Genomic DNA, 19,094 nt, shown 5'->3' on the forward strand with positions numbered 1-19,094 from the left:
ATTGAGTGACAGTACAGCTCCCAGGAGACCTAAAGTGGGTAGCTCCTTTCTGCAGTCAGGTTGTCCCAACGTCTGCTCGAGTCTGGCTGAGTCTGAGGTTTTTATGGGCTTCAGAAGGGAGGAAGTGTGTGCTGATTGGTTCATGGGCAGCCATGGGTGGGTGTGGAAAAAGCACCATAAGTTCTCACTCCAGACTGTGGACTCCACCTGGAACTGACAGCCCAGCCCCCATGCTTCAGGTCTTCCCTGGCTTTAAGGTGGGGCTTCACCAGGGACCCACCCCTTTCCACCCAGAAGCCCATCTGCCTCCTGCCGCCATCTACATGTCATCCATGGCACCCAGGCTATTTGTGCCAAGGGGCATCTGCAGGCCCAGGCCAAGCCACCCTCAGGCCCCCACTGGCCTCCCTCCCATGCTCATCAGTGCCCAAAGTCCAGAAGGGGCTGAGGTCACAGGAGGCTGGCGTGTCAGTGCCACCCCAAGCATGCGTGCTCCAGGCTGGGTTGTGGCTGTGCCTGGGCTTGGCTTCAACTTTGCTCTGAAATCAGAGCAAGTGCTGGGAGCAGGGACAGGCTAGCTGCCATCAATAGCATAGATGAATATCAAAATAAATATGCCATGTGAAAGAAGTCACACAAAAAATATTTACTATATAATTCCATTTGCATACAATTCTGGAAAATAAGAACTATAATGACAGGATGCAGATCAGTGTTTATCTGAGGATGGGGGTGGATGGAGGGATAGATTTCAAAGGAGCTCAAGGAAGCTTTGAAGGGAGTTGGTTATGTTCATCATTTGATCCTGGTGATGGTTTCATGGACATTGTTAAAACTTACCCAATTATACACTTTAAATATGTACAGCTTATTGTTAAAGCCAATTATACCACAGTAAAGCTACAAAACATGAATTATAAAACTTCATGTATAACCCTATCGACTAGGTGATACCATGGTCATTTTCATATTAAAAAATAGTCTTGGAGCAGAAAACCAGCTTTTTAGGCCTGTTGCTGGGGCCAGCTTGGCATATTTGTGGGTCTTAAAGGATCCAGCCTTTGCCTACTCTACAGGCAGCTAAAAAGGACTTGGGCTAATACAAGCTTCCCCACCCACCCTGCCTGCCCTGCCTGGCTGCCCCTGTTTGCTCAGCTAACTGCTGTTGATTTGAAGAAACTTAGCCCAAAAGTCAGCTCCCCCTGGACATCTTTCTGGGATCCTGCGGCTGGGTCTGAGACACCTGCCTGCCTGGCACTCACTATCGGCCTGGTCTGAGATGAGTGACTCTTCATCCCTGGGTCACTCCTGGGATGCTTTGGGAAGCCTGATCTTTTAGGCCTAGTGCACAGTGCCACGCCTGGCCCCAGAAAGATGTTCGGTAAATACAGGACTCAGTAAATAGAGAGATAGGGAGAGGTCTCCAACAAGGGCTTGAACAAGGCTTCCTTTGGGAAGATGCAGAAACAGCTAAGATGATAGAGAGCCAGGAGCCAGGAAGCATGACCTCCATCCATCCCAGATGCCACCCTCCTGCTGCTCAGAAAAAAGGGACAGAGAAGTGAACCATTTGCATCTCTAAAGGAGCCCTGTGTGCATTCCCTCTGTCCAGTTCAGGTGTGCACTGGAATCTTTGGCCTTCCCAAGAATTGCAAGGGGAAGCTGTGGAAGAGACTAGGCCAGCACCAGCCTTCATAAGCAGAGGCAATGAGTTAGAGCTGTAATAATCCCTTGTTTATTCCCCAAGATGCCAGAAAATAGATAAAAATCCAGATCAATGGGCTCCAGCTTTTGACCAGAGCTGAGCTGACTCATGTAGCATCTTCCCCTTTGGATGGAGGCCCCTCTGTGGGTTCCAGAAAGGAAGAGTGTAGCTCTTTCTGACTCTGCCCCCAAAAGCCACAATTCATTCTTCATTGAACATTCCTTTCTCTCCCCCACATTCCCATGAATCCCCAGAACAGCACCGCCAAGAGGACCTTTATGGGAATCCACTTGCACCTCCGGCCAACGCCCTTCCCAATGCCAGTAACTCGGGTGTCCCGAGCCTGACAAGTTCCAGAACACACTCCTCTCTGCATTCCATGTTTTGCTTTTACAGGCAGTTGTTTCAGAAGCACCAGAAAGCATCTTAGATGGCTAAGACTGAAAAGGAATGGGGGGCCCTGAAGTTACCCCACATTCATTCATCTCTCCCAACAAAATGTGTGTCCTCCCTTGGCTGGGTCCTGCACCACCTGGAGAAGGTAAGGGGAAGGTGTTGCTCAGCCCAGACACAGTAGCTCCCAAGTACTGGAGGAAACAGAGGAGGAGACAGAAGTCCCAGCCTGGAGACACTCGGAGGGCAGGGCCAGTGAGGGCAAGGCATGGGGGCAGAAGGACAGGCTGCAGGAGGACGTGAGTTAAGCTATGGTTTTATGGAGTGGGCAGCCCCAGACAAGGCAGGGACCAGGAAAAAGTCTATTCTAGGAAAAGGAATCAATGTGAGTAAAGGGACGGAAGAAAATGGCGAGGTCGCTGCATAAAACGTGTAGTGTGATGGGTGGGGGCGGGGGCTGGGGGCACAGAATGGCCAGCCAGGAGCCTGCTCAGAGTCAGAGCCAAAAGTATCGCTTAGTGTTCTGTGTGCTGACTCGTGTGTGCCGTTGCTATAATTCACCATGTGACTAGTGCGTTTTAGTTTCTCATCTGATAGGATGGCTAATACAGAACCATGGTACAAGTTTCAAAAGGTACCCATGGATTTAAAGTAAAAACAAAGCTTTCTCCTTCATTTCTATAAGACTCTGAGAGACAACCAGGTCCTGGATTGACAAGAAGAAAACACATTGCTGGACTCACAGGAAGCAAGGAAATTCCTAAAGATCAACTCTCTACCCCTCACCCCAACTCCAAAACACACACCCAATTAGAAGACAATTGGACTGAACCGGACCAGAACCAGCCTAGAGCTACAGGCAAGTGGGAAGGGTGAGGCCTCCCTGAAGACGCGAGCCACCGGAGCATGCACTGACAGGGAGCTGGCCAGCAGCAGGTGGGGGCTGGCCCTGGGGCCCCTGCAGCATCAGGACCCTCGAAGACAGGCAGTTGGCTTCTCTTAGAGAAAAAACCTTCCCAGTCTGAGCCATCAGAATTCTCACACACCCAAAAGAAGCAGACACTGGTTTATGAAGGTCACCAAGCACAGAAGAGGTGGCCACACAGGTGAGAATCAAGTAGAAACGGCAAAAAGATTCAGCCCCTAAGGACTTAAGACACCAGAAGTAGCAGAAACAGAAGATGGGATAGCGGCGTTTAAAGAAAACATGGCTGGACTTCTAAAGGCAGGCCAAGAGCCCATATAAATAACTAGCATGCAGAGCTGAAAATGTACCAAGAAAGCATGGTGCAGTGGCTCACGCCTGTGATCCCAACACCTTGGAAGGCCGAGCTGGGAGGATCACTGGAGCCCAGGAGTTCAAGACCAACCTGGGCAGCATAGTGAGACCTCATCTCTAAAAAAAAAAAAAAAAAAAAAAGAGAGAGAGAAAGAAAGAAAACTTACCAAGAGAAACTTGGGAACTTGGAGAAAGGAAGGATATAATTTCGGAAATAATTACCTCAATAGATGATCAAACAGTAAATAAGACATCACTACACAAATGGCCATTTCATATCTTCCCCTTTCTCCTCCAATGCCCCAAGCCCTCTTCTCCCATCCTCACTCTCAGCTGAGACTTTACTGAGAAATAGCAGCAGCCAGAAGAGAACTCCCCCAAATGTCTATCCTCACATCCAGCCGCATGCCGGCATCTGCACCCACACACTCAGCCTCCATTCCCACGGCTAGTGAGAAATGTTTCATGCCCAACCTGAAGGCAGTTCCACCTGTGCTCCAGAGCCATCCCACATCCCCCGCACGGTGTTCTCCAGCCATTCGCTCTTCTCCCCCTCACTATTCACGCTCCCTCTCTCCTGGAACATTTTCATCGCCTTATGTCTGTTTTTTTTTTTTTTTTTTTTTTTTTTTTTTTTTTGACACAGTCTCACTCTGTCACCCAGGCTGGAGTGCGGTGGTGCAATCATGACTCATGGCATTTTTGATCATCGAAACTTTGATCACCAAACCCTCCTGGGTTCAGGTGATCCTCCCACCTCATGCTCCCACCTCAGCCTCCCAAGTAGCTGGGATTACAGGCACCAGCCACCACACCTGGCTAATTTCTGTATTTTTTGTTGACATGAGGTTTCCTCATGTTCCCCAGGCTGGTCTTAAACTCCTGGGCTCAACCAATCCACATGCCTCAGCCTCCCAGAGTGCTGAGATTATGGTGTGAGCCACCACGCCTGGCTCACCTTATATCTGAACCCTAGAGTTACATAGATTCAATGCTCCAAGCTAATTCTCCTCTTTCATTGGTTGGTTGGTTAAAATTCTTTGGCTAGTAGTCTCTTCAAGACAGGCTCCAATAAACCATATTTCCTGAATTCTTACATATTCAAAGGTGTCTGTTGCCTTTACATTTGCATGTCAGTTTGGTTAGTGACATTGCTTGGATATTTGTCCCCACCCAAATCTCATGTTGGAATGTCATCCCCAGTGTTGGGGGTGGAGCTTGGTGGGAGGTACTTGGGCCACAGGGACAGATCTCTCATGAATGGTTTGTACCCTCCCCTTGGTGATGAGTGAGTTCTGGCTCTGGGTTCACATGAGATCTGGTCGTTTAAATGTGTATGGCACCTTTCCCCAATCCTCTCTCTTGCTCTGTTCTTGCTGTGATGTGCCTGCTCCCTCTTTGCCTTCTGCTATAAATGGAAGCTTCCTGAGGCCTCCCCAGAAGCAGATGCTACTATGCTTCCTGTAAAGCCTGCGTAACAGTGAGCCAGTTAAACCCTTTTTCTTCATAAATTACTTTATAAAGTATTTCTTTACAGCAATGTATGAATGGCCTAATACAGTTAGGTACAAAACAACTTTCTTAAGTACATCATAGGCCAGCTCCTCTCTCTTCTAGCTGGGAAAAAGACTCAAGTCAGATTTCAAAGATAAAAAGAGAGTCAAGGGAAAGGGATCAGGTTTTAGTTATTTTCATCAGAAATGCTTTAGTGTTGACCTCCGTATGCAGTTTCTAGGTGGCACAATATTTTCTTTCAATCTATATGTTCAAGTCTTCTTTTTTTTCCAGAAATGTTTCTTAAGTTTTAATTTTAATTTAAAAATTTTTCATTCATGATCTTAGTTCTTTTATCCTTCAGACTCATCAAATACAAATATTTGGGATCCTTTTTACTGACTTCCCATACTCAAGTCCCTTTCAATGTCTCTTTACTTCCATTTTCTTTTGTTCACTTTCTTCACAATCCTGTCCTCTATGTACCTGCTGTGTTATTGATAGTGTCCGTTCTTCTTTACATCTGCAAACGATTGTATGTTTCCCTTTCACATCTTCCCAAGTTCTGCCAGTTTGAGCATGCCTCATTTCCTTCTCTCTTGCCATACCTTCCCTGAGCAGCATCTCTGCTTTATGTTCTTGTTTTATAAAGGCAATTATTTTATTTTTAGAAAATGCATGGCAATATGTTTGGCTGTAAACTCTGTCTGCTCTATGATAATACTTTTTTATTAAAAAAGGAAAAAGAGAGATATTAAAAACATACACATAAGTCATCCATTTTCAAGGAAACCCAATGGGCTCCATGTTTGATGGGTGCACTGATGGCTGCACAAGACATGGTTCCCCTCTCCAGGGCTTTCTCTAGGCCTTCTTCCTGTACCTTCCACCATCCCCCAGATGAAGGGCCTTTCCCCACTTCCACCCCTAATTCTCTTGGCTTCTTTGGTGCTCTGTGAATTGCTGCAACCTTGCAGAGAGCCCTGGCTGTGTCCTGTGATATGAAGCAATCATTTAGAGACACCCCCCCACAACCACAACCATGTGTGTGTACTTCAGCATGACCTGTGTGGCCTGGATCCACCCCAGCCTTCCTGGTCAGTGGCTTAGAAAAGAAACCTCAGTGCCAGCAGAGTACAAATAAAGGAAAACCCATGACCGTCCTGTGAGTGGACACAGTCCTCTTTGGGCTCAGGGTGTTCAGCACTCACTCTGGCAGCTGTGAGGCCCAGGCAGCTCTTCTCCCTGTGCTCAGACATCTCCTGGGCTCCTTGGGAAGCACCCTTCCCTCCGTGTATCTTGCTTTCTTGATCTATTCTTGTGTTCACGTGTGCATAGATTTCATGAGCCCATCCTAATCATTGGGGAGCAAAGGAGAAGTAGTAATAAATAGACAGCAACCAGAGCGTGAGCTGGTTAGGAAGGCATTTCACGGGGTTGGACAAGGGAACGTTGTTTCAAAAGCAACAAGAAGGTGGAGATAAGATGCTGACGTTCATTGACCTGCAAGTAATGTGAATGTGGAGGAGATTATGAGTAGAATGTGATCTTTGAGCTGTTTTGGATTTCTCATGAGAGGTGAGGACCGATCCGTACTCAGCCTTTTTCCCAGCCCAGCAGGGACATAAGGGGTTTACTGTTTCACCCGAGAGGAAGCCACCAAGCTGCAGGAAGAGCAGAAGGCTGGAGAGCCAGGGATGGGTGCAGACCCGTGCCTCCAAGACACTGGGGAGGGCATTGCACCATGGACCCATGCCTATGTGCTGGAGGTGCCAACACCAACCTAGAGAGAGGGTGGGGAGAGTTCATAGGCTATTACCTGTAAAAGCATTGAGCAAGTTGCCTGGGATTCAGACTCCTGACATATCATTTGGTACAATTTTCCTCTTTTCGAGCCCTGCAGAAGTTGAAAGACAGCTCCCATTAATATTACCCTCTTTCTTTGGGCATCCAGTGTGACCATTTTAACCCAGTGACTCTTAACAAGGCTGTTCTGGTACCAGAAAGTTTTTGATGCTTCTATGTCAAAATGGCCTTGTCAATTTTTTTTAAATTGCTATTCTTTTACCAGTTAATGTTCATCCAGGTCTCCTGGACATTTCAACCCATTCCCCACAGTTATGTTACCACAGATATTGCCCTGTATTTTCTATATTTCTTTCATTTTTCCAATTCCATTTTCTACATCTTTTCTTATTTTTTTTTTATCAGTAGCTGTCTCTTTTCTTAACATGTGATTTGTCTAGATTCTTATAAGTGGGCATTATTTTTATCATCAAAAGATGGTAAATATCTTACAATAAATAACACAACTGTGCTGTGGTCCATGCTTAATGGACTGCTACCAGTTCAATAGCTTTTTTCCCAGGCGGCGTGAAGCTGAGAATGAGAGGGTCCGGAGAGAGAGTCTCCTCATGTCCTCCACGATCCAGGAACCAGCAGGACAGCTCTGCGCCAGAAGGAAACTCCTCAATTGGAATCTTTGAGCTACCTTGTGCCAGCTGCATGGCATTGGATCAAGTATTGAAACTCTGCTCCTCAGTTCCCTCACCTGTCAAATGCGAATGAGAATGACAGTGAGCTCATCAGTGACTGTGAGGAGTGAAAGAGGTGAACCAGGTGAGACACCCAGAGTGGCACCTAGCACGTCACAGCCATCAGCACACACACAACCCAATACGGCTGACAGATCCAAGCAGCCAGGAAGGCACAGGGGCCCTAGGAAGGTACAGCCATAAAAAGGAGTGAGGCACTGCTGCACATGCCGGGAGGGAGCCTTGATGAATGTTGGTAAATGAAAGAAGCCAGGCACAAAAGACCACATTTCATATGATTCCCTTTATAAGAAACATCCAGGCCAGGTGCAGTGGCTCACACCTGTAACCCCAGAACTTTGGGAGGCTGAAGCGGGTGGATAACTTGAGGCCAGGAGTTCAACATGGTGAACTCTGCCTCTATCAAAAATACAAAAATTAGCTGGGTGTGGTGGTGCACACATGTAATCCCACCTACTTGGGAGGCTGAGGCGGGAGAATCACTTGAACCCAAGAGGTGGAGGCTGCAGTGAACTGAGATTGTGCCACCACATTCCAGTCTGGGTGACGGAGTGAGACTGTCTCAAAAAAAGGAAAAAAAAAAAAAAGAAAGAAAGAAACATCCAGAATAGGCAAATCTATAGAGATTGAAAGTAGATTTCTAGTTGCCAGGGGCTGGGATGGGGATGGGGGGCTGTAGAGAGTAATGGGAGTGGCTGCTTAATGGCTATGGGGTTTCCTTTCCAGTTTCATGAGAGGTGAGGACCAATCCATAGTCAGCCTTTTGCCCAACCCTGTAAGGGGCTTTTCTGCTTCATCCGGAGAGGAAACCAGGAAGCTGCAGGAGAAGCCCCAGGCTGGAGAGCCAGGGAACGGTGCAGACCACTCTCCCCACCCCCACCGCCTTCGGGGCATCGTGGAGGGCGTCCTACCGTGGACTCGCGCCTATGAACAGGAGGTTTGATGAAACATTTGATTTGATGAAAATGTTCTGGAACTAAATAGTGGCAGTGATTGTGTGGCATCATGAATGTACCTCATGCCACCGAATTGTGCGTTTTAAAACAGTTAAAACGGTAAAAATATGTCATTGGTACTTTATCGCCAAAAAAGGGCAGAGATCAAATGGACACCATAATAATTTCCATTATTAAGCAGCCAATTCTATATCTTGATTATAAATCCATGGACAAGATCCCTGGAATACAACAGGAGAGGTCAGACCATCCTCAACACAGATTACACCACCGCAGGCCAATTCACACAGAATGAGCACAGGCCTTCCTTCAGATGACCAGTGGCGGTGCTATCGTTAGCTTTGCTGCTTAACAAACCTCTTCAACATCCAGCAGCTTAAAATGATGTCCACTTTAAGAAGCCCACAATTGTGTGGGTCAGCTGGACTGTTCTGGTCTGGGCCAGCTTGGCTGATCTCCACTGGGTGCTCTCAAATGTCTGTGGTCAGTTGGTGGGCTGATGGCTGCTGAATGATAGATTAGACCCTCCCTCTTATGCTGGCATTTGGCTGGGGAGCCTCAGCTGGGAGGTCTGGTATCTGCTCCACATGTTCTGTCATCCCTCAGTGAAGCTAGCCTGCATCCACAGAGCAGCTGGGAGGGCTGGTCTCTGCTCCACGTGGTCTCTCATCCCCCGGTGAAGCTAGCCTGCATCCACAGAGCAGCTGGGAGGGCTGGTCTCTGCTCCACGTGGTCTCTCATCCCCCGGTGAAGCTAGCCTGCATCCACCGAGCAGCTGGGAGGGCTGGTCTCTGCTCCACGTGGTCTCTCATCCCCCGGTGAAGCTAGCCTGCATCCACAGAGCAGCTGGATGGAGAACCTGAAAGGCACCTGGAGACCTGGGCTCAAAATACCCCAGCCTCATTCTGTTGATCAGAACAAGTCACAGACCCATCAGAGTCAAGGGTGGAGGAAATAGACTCCACTTCCTGAAGGGAGGGGCTGCAGAGAAGTTGTGGCCGTGCTCCAGTGCATGCTAAGCCCCAGGTGCCCGGTTCTCTGAAGCCTGATTAACCCCCACTTTATCCCTATGTCCTACCACCCTTCTCACCTCTGGGGTGAGCTCGAAAGGGGGTGAGACGCAGGGAGGTCAGGGTGTCCATGTCACATGACACTTAGTAGAGCAATATAGCTGAATATATCATGGCTTGCCAAAATATCCCCATGTCTAAACAGCTGCATTAAAGGAACCACATCAAAATATCTTCCCTGGTTTTTGGTGTGGTTCCAGATTTCTTTTTGTTTCAGAACTAAATAGGCCTCCCACACTTTCTTCTATCTGGGTCTGGTAACTCCTCCTCTTGGTAGCTAACGGCAAGGCCTCTGGACATTCAACTGGGTTGGGAGTGGCAGGGGGCTCCATGCAGGTAGGAGAAATCAAGTAGGCAAAGAAAGATACAGGAGCAGCAAGAGCCTCTATCCAGAGTGGTCAGAAGGTGCAGACTTCTTGCCCAGAAAGGTGAGTCGGGGCTTCATGGTGAAGGGCCTGAGCCTGTGAGGGTAGACAGAGGGACTGGACACCAGTGGAACAGGGATTCCTGGAAGAACGCAGCATGCCACGGCCAGGGCTGAGCTTGGGAAGAGTCAGCAGCAGCACATGCAGGCAGAGGCAGTTCAGAGAGATCAGAGGCAGAAACGAGCCGTTAGGAGGCTGTGGACGTGGCCCAGGTAACGGAGACTTGAGCAGGGATGGTGATGAGACGTCACAGAAGTAGAACTGACACAGTTCGAAGACTGATTAGACGTGAGAGGGAAGAAGGCAGTGAATGAGGAGGGAAAGGGAAGGATGACAGAGAAGGCAATGGCCCCAAGCCCATTCGAGGGGGCCAGGAAAAGACAGTTCCGCAGAGAAGAGAACAAGAGATGGGACGTTCCGCTCAAAGTTCTAAGACATCGGAGCATGGGACGCTGCAGCAGTGGGGTAGGGTTGGGGCCATGGAGGGAGGCCCCTCAGGCAGAGGGATCAGGAGGAGCAGCAGGGCCCTGCCCCATCTGTAACCTGGCCAGCCCTGTGGTCAGCTGTGACACTGAGGGTCTAAAGCCCAATTTTCAAGATTAAGCAATAACTGTTCTTCCTCCTAGGACATGAAAACCTGTCCAAGAACCAGGCCCGGTTCCTTGCCTGCTCTCCCCAGCACTTGGAGGGCTCCACGGTTGGCCGCAGCTGTATCACTCACAGCAGATTTTACAAGCCTGTCCTTCTGCCAGGGCCCTTTCAGAAGTGAAAATAGCTGGAATCAGCCTGCTTTCCCTAAACCATGAAAACATCTCACTGTACCTCAAGCTGCGACTTAGTGCTGTGTCAGCCCACACCCCAGCACACTTCCTGGAGGAACCCGTCCGAGCAACCTCAGGAGGGTGCACTGAGGACCCGTTCTGCACACGTTTAAACGCAGGGTCGGATTTTAAACAGGATATCCAGCCGGAGACGAAGGTAACTGTTGTCTTGGTCACTGCTAAGAAGCACCTGATCGTGCAAGACATACCGCTCATGAGAAAGAAATGTTTTCAACTCTTTGTGGCACCCTGCTGGGACAGGCTCTGCCTGGTCATTCCATCCCAGGGGTGATTAACCATCCCAGTGTTAGGGCCTGGGACTTTGCTAATGTGCTTTCAGGTCAACCACAAACATATTTCTAAGATTTCTTAGCTAATGGTGCATTTGCGAGGTCATTCCAGGCTAAGACCAGGAGGATTAAAAGATCTGATTCCTTCCTGAGGCTCTTAGTTGTAAAGGACCAAAGAAGCCGTAAAACAAAGATTTATTCAGTTTCAGCCGGCCAGTTCAATGGCGCAGCCCCGTAAGACCAGGAAAAAAGAAACATCTGGCCAGAAAAGTACACTTGTTTACAAAAAAAAAAAAAAAAAAAAAAGGCTTTAAGACTCTTCTCCAGCCTCACCAAGTTCTTGGACTAAAATTAGGCTGAAAATTAAAAACAATGTCGAATCTGAAGAGTACAAGGCAAATACAGGCAGGAGAAAGAACATCTTGTTTCTTCCTTATCCAGCTGCCTCTGGCTGGGGGTCCCCCGAGCACCCCGGGGAGCCGCCCTGCCCTGGTAGGTAGCCCCCTCGGGGACCGCACAGCTGTGGTGCTCCCTGAACAGGTGACGGATGTGGCCTCTGCTCCAAGACCAAACCCTTTTGTGGGGGAGGGTGTTTTCTGCAGAGGATACTCAGAGAAGGGAGAGGGCCGTGTTTGGCTGCTCCTGATGATAAAACGCCACTCTCCAGAGCTCAATGTAAACAGCGGTAGTGCTGCTGGCACTAAGATACTGAGGCGGCCCGTGCTGGGGGATGGGGTGTTGAGGGACGGGTACATCTTGAGAGGCGTGGATGACAACTGTTTTGTAAGGAAGGAAGCCTGTGCTGGCAGTGAGGCTCTTGGCCTCAGTCGGGAAACTCAACTTCTTTTCCAGGCCTGCTATTGACTCACGGAGGACATGCAGGCCAAGCTCTCCTTGCTCAAGTTCCCCCTCCATCCCCCACCATGTATGCAATGGCAGGCGATGGGAATCACAGGACTCAGCCAGTGCCTTCCGATCTCCCTGGGATGCTAAAGGGATTAATGGGTCAAGGTTGGAAGATGCTTTGAACTTCTTGGCACGGAGCTGCCTCCAGTACAGTAATTAATAAACCTCCCCAAAGAGGTGGATTAGGGTCACAAGTCACCCAGAGGCTCAGGGAATAGAGCCGGCCAGGCTTCGTGGCTGGGTCGCAGGAGCGGATGGGGAAGGACACGGCATCTGAAGTCTGCACCCTGTGTGCAGGCAGCCGTGGTGCCAACAGATGTCCTTGGGTTCCTGGGCTGTGCCTGTTAACAGCCCAGACTTACACCTGTGAAAAAAGCAGAAATGAAATCCTGACCCCAGAGCAGAGCAGAGGCAGCCGCCCGACGTCACCCCAGTTAACGGTGAAGCAACATTCGTGGGAGTTGGAGATGACATTTCTAATGGCAAAGAAGGTGCTGACCAGACGTTTAACCACGAGTAACACTGTCCCTCTGCCGTCTTCAGCGTGGGCCTGGAAATCTTTGACAAACCTTGAGCAATCGGGACCTGGGGGTTCCCACATCCCATCAGAAGGATGACATTTCTGGAAACCTTGTACCGGGGGATACCAAGTGGAGAAGATCATTAACTGGGGCATAAACAAGTCCCTGAAAGTCTCCTCAGCATGTTTTCCTCCTCTGTAGGGTGGTGGGGCTGGACTAAGCGTGGTGCTCCTGAACCACCCAGGCATATGTCGCTTACCCCTCTCCATGGTGGCAGCGCCTGCTTGTGGACGGTGACCTTTCTGCTGTCCTCCAGAGCCTGCAAAGCTGTTGGGAACTTGTAAGTCCTGATACCTTGCTGGCCTTGAGGAGGTCAGCCATCACAGATAAGCAGAATGAGGCATGACGTGAGCCGGGCTTGTCTGTGACTAGGTCCACACGGTGCTCCAAGACTGTTCCTGCCCACACATTTCCAGCGCTTCCACGTTTTTCCCAGGGCATCTCAAAATTCCACTCCTGTGCCACCGTTCATTCAGGCAGGGACACAGAAGCTGTACTCCCTCCACCTGAGGCTGTCTAACCATGGGCTGGCCTGGCAACTGGCACCTGGGACCTGATGCTGTGCTCTCTGCACCCTGGTTTGCACCGAACACATCTATCCAGCGAGTCTTGGGCTTTGGTTCCTCAGGGAGCCTTTTCAGATGAACCTCAGCCACGGTCTCATCGACAAATCCCTCCTAAAACCCTCTACCGTTACAAAAGGGGCTACTCCAAAAGGGGCTGTGGCCTTTGGTCCACAAAGTTCATGCCCACCCATAAGGCATACCCAGCATGCAACTCCCCCTCCTCACGGCCACCCCATCCATGGCTCTGAGAGGTTCCTCGCCCTGCCCCAACCAAAATGTGTTCACATGCATAGAAAGAGCATCCAACGAGGATTTCTGATTTGTCCTAAATATCTGGGTGTGTCCTGCCCCCTTATGATATTACAGTCGGTGGGTGCTACCCTTCAGCTGCATCTGGGGGCACAGGCATCACTAAGGTTGGGGTCTCACTGCACACTCTATGCACATCAGCACCAAGTTTGGCCCATTAATCCCCCACACCCTGTGAGGTAGACATCATCACCCCCATCTAACTTAGGGACCCTGAGGCTCAGAAAAGCTACCCAAAGTCTCCCAGCCATACATGTCCAGAGTCTGGACATGAACCCCTCCTTATAACCCGAGGGCACACCCTTGCCACCGGCCACCTTCTCCCCGACCTGCCAGTGAGATGGCAATGTCTGCCCCTCAGGTTCCTCCAGCAGGCCCACAGTGCTCACTCCACCCCTCACATCCTGACCACTGCCTTGGCCTCCCGCGGCCTCCACTCTGCTCCGCACTCACACACGCAACCCCGCTGACCCTCGGCACCCCATCTCCTCCTGAGACTCACATATTAGCTTCTCACAGGACGGCTCCTGTGGTTGCTCCTCATGACCTCATGTGTCCCACATCCAGGCCTGGGGCACTCACCAGCTCCTGTAGCCTCCATCTCTGGGCAGGACGGTGCCATCTGCCTGGTCACCAGAACTTGCTACCTCGGTGCCACCTTTCCCTACCCACTTCTCCCAGCCCACCCCATCCGCCATGTCCACACCCATGTGATCTCCAAGCCTGCCCCCTCTGCCTCTTACCATCCCCAATCCGTCTTCTCCTTTCCATCCCAGCTTCTCACAGGAATGACCATTTCCCGCTCCCCTACCCTGCCCCCAGGCCAGTGCCAGAGCAGTCCATCTCAAATGCTGTATCTGCATCCTCTAGTAGGCACCCGACCCAGGACCAGGAGCACAGCAGTTGGCCAGCACTGAATGAATGAGGGCATCTGCTGAGTGAATCACCACGTTTTCTCCTCCCAACACCCAGTGGCTGTATGACTGTCCATACCCACCAACAGCACACAAGGTTCCCTTTCCTCCACATCCTCACCAACACTTGCTGTCTTTCATCTTTTTGATAAGCCATTCGAACAGGGCAGGTGATGTCTCACTGTGGTTTTAATTTGCATTTCCCTGATGGTTTGTGATGACAAGCATTTTTTTTTTTCATAGATCTGTTCACCACTTGGATGTCTTCTTTTGAGAAATATCACTTAACATGTGGAGTCTAAAAAGAGTCCTAGAAGTAGAAAGCAGAATGGCGGTTACCAGGGGCTGGGAGATGGGGCAAGGGGAGAAGGTCAAAGGATACAAGATCTCAGTTAGATAAGACATATAGGTTTCAGTGATCTATCGCACAGAATGCTGACTAGAATAAATACTAATGCATTGTATATTTCCGAATTGCTAAAAGAGAAGATTTGAAATGTTTTCACCACAAAAGAAGATCGGTATGTGAGGTGAAAGATTATTGATTAGCTTGATTGAAACATTTCACAATGTAAACATATATCAAAACATCAGATTGTACCTCATAAATATATAATATATACAGTTATTATGTGTCAATTACCAAAACTAACCAACAGCTGCGTTGCCCTGAAGGCGGGGCCTGGATCCTCAGTGTGGCCTCAGGTACCCCCGTGACCTGGCACCTGTCTCCCTCACCCTCCCCTCCACAGATGCTGCCTCGGGCCCCCCCAGATTTCCCCGTCTACTGTCTACCTCACACACCACGCTGCGCACGCAGCTCCTCTGCCTGGGGCCCATCCTCACCTCCCTGTTGCTGTCCATCATCCTTCATGCCCAAGAGTCCTCCCCACCCCCACCCCTGCTGTGGTCAGTTTTGTGGACCTTCCTGAAGGATCGCTCCTCCCCTGTACCGACCTTGCCAAGCAGGTCCACACTGCACACTGCCTGGGACCCGGGCTAGGGACCTGCAGACTGGAGGCCCTCGAGGGTGTGCGGGCGTCCAGGTCCCCGCCTGCCTTCCCAGCAAACGGCTAGTGAGATATAGCCCAGGGACAAAAAGCAGAATCCCTGCCCCCAGCATCCCACAGGCCCTGGGAAGGCCCTCACTGCAGGTCTCCGAGCTGGAGCAGGGCTTTCTGCCTTGGCTGGCTGGAGGGCCAACAAGTGCCCTTCCTTTGAAATCACTTTGTTTATGTGTGTTAAAGGCCAATGTTCTCCAGTTATCTCTAAGCAGTTTCCATCTTACAATGAATTACTGCTCTCAAATGGAAAGGCCGGGGGAGTGCCAGCGTAGCCCAAACGCGGCCCAAATCGCTTTGCCCTCTGAACTGCTTGTTTCAGTGTTGGCCTCAGCAGCCTCCTCTGCCAGGTCTGCGCGCTGCAAAGTTCATTTCTAACGTTGTGATGCTTTGGAGAGCCACAGACAGCTGCTCCGCCTGGCTCCTGCCCTGGGCTCCGGGGGCTGGGCCTGACCGTTCTAACTAAGTGAGTGTGGCCGAGATCGCCTCATTGGCGCCTTTCTCACTCATCTGTATTTTCTCCAGTCCTTTCCAGATGCATTTGCCACGGCCCTGTACAAGGGTTGGAAGGGGAGAGGGAGCCATAAATCATCTGCCCCACAGTCCTTATGAAAATATTAAAAATGCTCAAAATAGGTGTGGGCGGAGGCCAGTGAGCGGCAGGGCCAGCCCAGGGCAGCGTCACGAATAGGAGCTTCCCAGGCCGAATCGGAGCTCCCCGAAGGCTCCATCCTCGTAAATCAGCCTGGCCTCCGCTTCTCGCTGGCACTTCCCGCTCCGGCTTGCACGAGGGTGAGGGGGCTGCTGCTGGCCGGGTGGGATAGGGGCCTGGCTTAGCCTGGCCGGACACCCGAGGCCACAGACCCAGGCAACCCCACACCCCACGCACAGTCCGGGGATTACGCAACCTCGTCTTGATGTGACCAGAGAACACCATGTACAGGCAAAGCCCAGCCCCTCGGGCCCGCAGAAGACAAATAGCAGGGAGGAAGGAGCATAGGTGCTGCCCCGGGCAGGTCCGATTTTCCACCATGGGCCTCGGCTGCCGGCGAGTGGCCATGCTGGGGGGCTCGGCCCCGCACGTATATGGGGTGCTGGCAGGAGCTCCACGTGCTCTGAGACATCCCCCCTGGGTCTTGTCAGACTTCATCAGGGTGAGGCGGCTGGTGGGGGAGGATGAGAAGAAAGGACTTGAGGGTGGGGATTTGTGCCTGATTCCCACTTAATCGGGATAAGCTGCTTGGAGAAAATGGGCTGTTATAATCTCTCCTTTCATGTCTGGCCAGGAATGTTGCTACTCTACGCAGAGGGCGGCATCCAGGCTCCTAAGCCAGCTCAAGAGAGCCCAGGGGTCAGCTGTCCCAACATGACTCCGGCCATGGCTGGGGAAGGTCTCTGCCAGGAGAAATGGTACAAGTGGAATAAACAAGGAGGCAGCCTGCAGAAACAGGCCTGCACCACACCAGCCGCCAGGAGCTCTGTCTGCATTCCTGGAGTCGGAAGCCACCAAGAGGCAGGGCCCGGGCTTCAAGACAACGGCTCCTTACCCTCCGCATCCTAGACTCTCCTCCTCACACAGCACAGAGGCGTTTGAGCTACCTGGGACCAGCAGGTAGCTGTGCCTGCCAGCCCTCAGGGCCCTGACACAAACCCCAGCCAGCAATGTGCCTCTTTTGTAAGAGGGGACTTCCCAAAGAGCCTCCCATCCCTTCAGTCCTGATGCCTAGTCATGCCAAGATCCCAGGACGAGGGGGGTGCGGAGGCTGTTTGGAGTCTGTGTGACAACCCAAGCGTGACCCCCAGAATTGCAGCTGAGTGGCTGTGTGACAACCCAAGCGTGACCCCCAGAATTGCAGCTGAGTGGCTGTGTGACAACCCAAGCGTGATCCCCAGAATTGCAGCTGAGTGGCTGTGTGACAACCCAAGCGTGATCCCCAGAATTGCAGCTGAGTGGCTGTGTGACCCTGGCACGTGGCTGATGTCCTCATCTCATGTGGCAGGACGAGTAGATGCACACACGGTTGAAAGTTGGTCATTTCAAGGCCAGGGGCAGTGGCTCACACCTGTAATCCTAGCACTTTGGGAGGCCGAGGCGGGTAGATCACCTTAGGTCAGGAGCTCAAGACCAGCCTGGCCAACATGGCGAAACCCCATCTCTACTAAAAATACAAAAATTAGCCAGGTACAGTGGCAGGCACCTATAATTCCAGCTACTCAGGAGGCTGAGGCATGAGAATGGCTTGAACCAGCGAGGCGGAGGTTGCAGTGAGCTGAGATCACGCCACTGCACTCCAGCCTGGGCGACAGAGTGAGACTTCATCTCAAAAAAAAAAAGTTGGTCATTTCAGAAAGAGTGGACTACAGATCAAATCCAGTAGAGTTCCCCCCTCTAGACCTCACCTAAGTCAAATTTGCAGACACAGAGGGCGATTGGTGTCTCTCAGGAGCAGAGGGAGGGGAGGATGAGTTAATGTTAACAGAGAGAGTGTCAGTTTGGGAAGACGAAACATTCTGGAGATGCGTGGTGGAACGTATGTGTACTTAACGCCACTGTACTGTACACTGAGAATGGGCAAAATGGTAAATCCCATGTTAGATATATTGCACCACAACAAAAAACTCAAAACAAAGAAAGGGTGGACTACACTTATATATAAACACGACCTTGTTTGCAGAATTTAATTCATAATATATATAAACTGTGTAAAAATTGCATAAACATATTTAAAGTTTTAAACATAACAAAAACAATAACAAAGATTGAGAAGCTGGGTGGTGTCGGGGCGAGTCTGAGCCAAACCTCGTCTTTTCTAGTGTGTTTTGTTGGGGGGTACACAAATGGGTTTAAACAGCTAAATCAGCACCCAGGACAAATATTTCAATTAGCGCTATGGGAGAAACTCATCAGAAGAATTGAGCCCAGAGTGGCGTGGGGCTGGAGTAGGGTGGGAGAACTGGCGTCACCCCTTATACCTTCCTGCAGTATATAGCTAACATTTGATGATTACTAAATCATGTCTGCACATCACTTCACAATAACTTCAAACAGCTGCGATTCAATCACCCATGAAACGAGCTAAAACTTTCTCCAACAGAGACTTTAAAATCTTCAGGCAACTAACTTCTCTTCCAGGTGTTCCTGGTCTTGGCTTCCTGAGTTTGAACCTACAGATGTTTCTGACTTGAACTGGGTCCCCCACCGGGTTTGCAGCCTCAGGGGAACGGAGGACACAGTTTCCTTATCCCTCTGGGTGCCTTGTGTCCTCACCCTCTCCACCTCGCCATCCCTCTCCCCTCCGCATCGACTCCTCCTCACTCTCCAAGACACAGCTCTTGGGGAAGGAGGGCTGTAGCCCCAGCAGGATCCAGTCCCCTGGCTCCAGCCCCAGCAGGAGAAGCCCTGGGGAAGTGCAAAGGCAAACAGGAGTTTGCACACACACAGCCTAGGGAGCACAAGGCAGCCCCCGCTGCTGGGAGCCAGGAGGATGGAGGCCAGCCTCAGAGGATGAAAGCAGAGGTGTGGAGAAGAAGAGCGGGTGAGGGGAGGGCTCCGGGAGCTGATGGAAAGAGAGCCTGCTCCTGTGGCTCTCCAGACCCTCCCTTGCCCAACCCCCCTCCTCCTCCTTCCAGCCCCTACCTCCCCCTCCGCACTGCCTCCATGGGCACAGCAGGCATGCGATTAATATGCACAGCCAACTGAGGCCTGTGGCACCGTCCTGTGTCTCTGTGACTGGACAGTTGCCATCACACTGGACGCGGGGCGGTCCAC

The 19,094-nt window shown here is 50.8% G+C and overlaps 1 long non-coding RNA gene across 1 annotated transcript, besides 1 other annotated feature; it reads right to left on the bottom strand.

The window, feature by feature from the left end:
• LOC107984697 (uncharacterized) lies at window positions 5,561-15,443 on the bottom strand. The gene is made up of 5 exons (XR_001750892.2): window positions 15,222-15,443; window positions 14,386-14,574; window positions 7,170-7,422; window positions 6,691-6,768; window positions 5,561-6,225 (listed from the first exon to the last, which is right to left on the bottom strand). It is a non-coding gene; the product is annotated as an uncharacterized LOC107984697 (long non-coding RNA).
• Window positions 6,491-7,690: an enhancer, noted in NCBI's record as "BRD4-independent group 4 enhancer chr14:101821778-101822977 (GRCh37/hg19 assembly coordinates)". NCBI's record gives its function as "activates an origin of replication core promoter dependent on BRD2, P300/CBP, MED14 and CDK7 cofactors, and independent of BRD4, by STARR-seq in HCT116 cells {active_cell/tissue: HCT116}" and the evidence as "EXISTENCE:reporter gene assay evidence [ECO:0000049][PMID:35650434]".
• Window positions 15,444-19,094: the final 3,651 nt, after the last annotated feature.

This window comes from Homo sapiens, chromosome 14 (genome assembly GCF_000001405.40).
Source record: "Homo sapiens chromosome 14, GRCh38.p14 Primary Assembly".
Taxonomy (NCBI): Eukaryota; Metazoa; Chordata; class Mammalia; order Primates; family Hominidae; genus Homo; species Homo sapiens.